General features: G+C 39.2%; 1 annotated feature.

Moving 5' to 3' along the window:
• Positions 818-1,018: a silencer, noted in NCBI's record as "peak269 fragment used in MPRA reporter construct". NCBI's record gives its function as "represses an SCP1 promoter by STARR-seq MPRAs in K562 erythroleukemia cells {active_cell/tissue: K562}" and the evidence as "EXISTENCE:reporter gene assay evidence [ECO:0000049][PMID:32103011]".

Genomic DNA, 4,229 nt, shown 5'->3' with positions numbered 1-4,229 from the left:
ATTTATAGCATAGTATACCTTCTCTGGACAGTTAATATGCATAAATATTAAAGCCAATTGACAGTTGTTTTAACACAATTTACATTTGAGATTTCAAAACATGGTTAAAACTAATAGAAAAAATTAGGTTCCACATTAAATTGTCTTTTAAGTGAGCTGTTTTGAAATGAAATTTTAGAACAGGCTTTTAATGAAAATAAAGAAATGGAAAATATACATGCTTAGTTCAAACAGATGATGGGGTTGAAAAGTCAAGATATAAGAAAAACGGGAAGATAGAAGAACTTTTGTGTATTATGGTTGGAGGTTTCAAAGAAAACTAAGCATCAAAATATTAGAACACACTAACAGAACCCCATTGTCACTAAAACTAATTAGTGTTCTGCTGTTTAATGCAAAAGCCTACATGCTGTCTTGACCTTTTTACACATCGTGTCTAAGGTTGTGCCATAAAACAGAGGGAAGCACAGAATGCCTCCAGATAGCCTCAGAGGTTTTCTTTTTTAAGTAGTTCAATTGATTGTAACAATGCAGGCTGTGTGTAGGACTTATTTAAAGGTGCTGTTTATTAGATCTTGATTACAAGGAGCCAGTGAATTAAAGTAATGTCATGCTAGGGAACAGTTTCCAGGGCAGAATGACTGCCATTTCTTTTTAATGTGATGCTGCATGGTTTAAAATACACTTACCATAGAATGCATGACTTTGAAAGTTAGCTCTCAGTAAACCCACATGACAGACAGAATGTGGAGAGGCGGATTCTCTGAAGAAGGTAAACTAAAGCAAGATTTTCATGGTGCAGCAATGCAATGCTAAGAAACAGTGATTGAAGAAGATAACCCAGCAGGAGAGTTCCTTGCAGACACATAAGAGCCTTTCATTGGAAAATCCCCAGGCAATTTGGAGGCTCTGACTCATGAGCATCTCTGCAAGGCGGTTGTGGTTTTGGTAGTTTAGCAAGTGTCGTTTTCTTCTGTTTTGTGTATGGCTTTGACTCAAAGTATTTTTGAAGATTTGTCATAAGAGAGGAAAAGATGTAGAACCTTCCAAGCCTCCTCAAGGCTTTCCTGGTGGAGTCCACATTCTTAAAACAGCTCACAAGGTTTAAGAAGCCCATTACCACAATGGTTAAGCACACAGACCTGGGCTCTGGTAGGTCTGGGGTTGTATGGGCTTTGCCATTTAGATAGCATGAGACGTTCGGTAAGTTATTAGCCTTCTCTAAACCTCTGTTTTTGCATCTGCGAAATGTGGATGATAATTGTACCAACCTTATGAGACTGTAGAGAGGATTTATTGATGTGATACATGTAAGATACTTAGCATGATGCTTAACAAATAGCATGCATTCAATAGATGGTAGCTAATAACATCAGTAATAATTACTTCTGTGTGCTTTGCCAGCGTTATCACCTGCCACTCTCATTGCTCAATCTACATTCTTATTTGTAGCCACATGAGCCACTTGCTGTTCCCAAAACACATCATGCATTTTATATATATTGTGGGTATATAATATGGGGTATATGTGAGCCTCCCCCACTCGACTTTGAGTTCCTTGAGGACAGAAGTCTTGTACCTGACACACAGCATATTTCCAGTGAGTGATAATTGAGATGAATCTTAGTTCAGGTGTCCTTTGTTGGCTTTCACAGAGCAGCATATCCCAAAATGGGTTCCAAGAAACATTAATCCCATAAGTATGTTTCTTAAAAAGGGGTTCTTGGTCAAATAAGTTTGAGGAAAGCCTCTGATTCCATCTTTTGCATAAGAGTTCAAACTGCCCATCAGAATATTAAAGAATCAGGAGTTTGTGGCCGGGTGCGGTGGCTCATGCCTGTAATCCCAGCACTTTGGGAGACTGAGGCAGGTGGATCACTTGAGGTCAGGAGTTCGAGACCAGCCTGGCCAACATGGTGAAGCCCCATCTCTACACACAAAAAAATTAGCTGGACATGGTGGTGGATGCCTGTAATCCCAGCTACTCAGGATGCTGAGGCAGGAGAATGCTTGAGCCTGGGAGGAAAAGGTTGCAGTGAGCCAGAGATCATGCCACTGCACTTCAGCCCCAGTGACAGAGCCAGACTCCATCTCAACAACAACAACAAAACATAATAATAAAATAAAAGCCTGTTTAACTTTATTCAACTCAGTGTTTTCTAAATTTTTTTGACCAGGAACCTCACTTCTCACTCTAGCCCCCTACCAATTAATATTCATTATAATCCCAATCAATAATTTAGGTATTGTCATTCTAAATGACTCAGAACTTTGTGAAATCATAAATTATGGCTTTAGCCATCATTACTTTATAGTAGAGTTTAATAAGATGTCCTTGGACAGGCTGTTTCTCAAGTAAACAACAACAACAAAAAGATGTCTTTGGGAAATTGAAGCGTGGCACTGAGGAATCCACCAACGATTGCCCAGGTCTGTAGCCCATGACTCAGTTTTGATCCTTTTTCCCCCATTTTCCCCACCTAGACAACTCACAAAGACCTATCAAATTGTCTTTTGTAATGTCTTTGGCACCTGTCCCTCTCTGTCTGTTCTCACTGCCACAGCTCTATTCTGTTCCAAACCCTCATCGCCTGACAACTATAACAGGATGCTAAGTAGTCATTGGTGTCTCTGTCTGCTTTGCAATCTGTTTACTGCTGCCAGGTAAATATTCTTCATACCACTTCCCTGAGCAGAAGACTTCAATAGCGTCCTGTCATCAGAACACTTGGTTTCCAACTTGTCTTTCAGGGGATGCTGTGGTTGGTAGGGAGAGCACTTATCAGGTAGGGCTCTGGAATCTTGACACCAGCTCCAACTAGGGCAGTTCTACTTGTATCTTTTTACATATTGACTATAAGATTTTGTTTCTAGAATGTAAGCTGAATTGCAAATAGAAATAGGAAGGCACCAGGCAAAGCTTGTTATCTTGGCACTTACATGTCTCCATAATCTAGTCTGAATTTTTTCTAATATTTTCTCATTGCTCTTTTTACCAAAGTTTACTCAGACCTGACTAATTTAATCATTATTTTTGGCAGTCCTTCTTTTTTAAATAATTTAATTTAATTTAATTTTAAGTCTGGGATACATGTGCAGGATGTGCAGGTTTGTTACAGAGGTAAAAGTGGCTTGGTGGTTTGCTGCACTTATCAACCCATCACCTAGGTATGAAGCCCAGCATACATTAGCTGTTGCCCTTCTTATACCTCATTTCTATTCCTTTGCTCAAGCTGTTTTAGTAATGAACACTGATGCTGTATCAGCCACTTATACTAAGCTCTTTGCATACATTTTCTCATCTATGATTAACAACTCTAAGAAGTAGGTGCTAATAATTATTCCCATTTTACAGACAAGGAATTGAGGCTTAGAGAAATTGAATAACGTGATCAGAGTTGCACAGTTGATAAATGGCAGAGCCAGGTTGTGAGCCCAGTATGTGCTGCCTCTTGCCAGATGTTTCTCACTTCTCCTATACAGTTATTGCCCTTCTTTCAAGTCTACCTTTTCCAAAAAATCTTCTCTGACTTCTATATCCCATGAAATTTCTTTCCATGAACTTCTTAACACTTACTATGTACTTCATCCCTGTAACAATCACCACATACACACGTATATATGCTATATTTTTAAAGGATGATGTTTTGTTTCTCCAGCTACTTTCTCTGAAGGCATAGAGGTGTTCGTGTTGTACCAAATCTTCCCTCCAGGCTTCCGCAGTTTTAGGTCCGTACTTTTCCAAGTACCATGGGTTACAGGTTGATATGAATGAATACTGAATCAGGAATCAGAGGACCTGAATTTTAGTTCTTACTTGCTGAAGGTAGGGGAAATAGAATGAGAGAGTGGGCTTGAGCCCAGCATTCAGTCCCTTTGAACCACAGATTCCTTACTTGTTATAAAAGGGGAAATGGCATGCTCCATACCTGTATGTGGTATTATTTTCAGGAACAAATAAGATCACACGTGTGAACGAATTTTTAAAATACTTGAATGCTGCACACATGCTAAGTATTGTTTTAACAGTGGTTGTCAATAGATAGGGGTTAGTGAAGTCAGGCAAAGAAGTTCTGGAGAAAAAGATGAGCTGGACCAGAACAAGGGGAGCTTAGCAGAGTTTGACAATCATGGGCATATCAGCAAGGCAAGAGATATATTTTATCAGTGCAACACTGTTATCCTTTAATTGATCATTTAATGCAGGCTGGAACTTTTTATACTCAGAT

Source organism: Homo sapiens, chromosome 1 (assembly GCF_000001405.40).
Source record: "Homo sapiens chromosome 1, GRCh38.p14 Primary Assembly".
NCBI lineage: Eukaryota > Metazoa > Chordata > Mammalia > Primates > Hominidae > Homo > Homo sapiens.
This window is presented reverse-complemented; position numbering and strand designations above follow the sequence as displayed.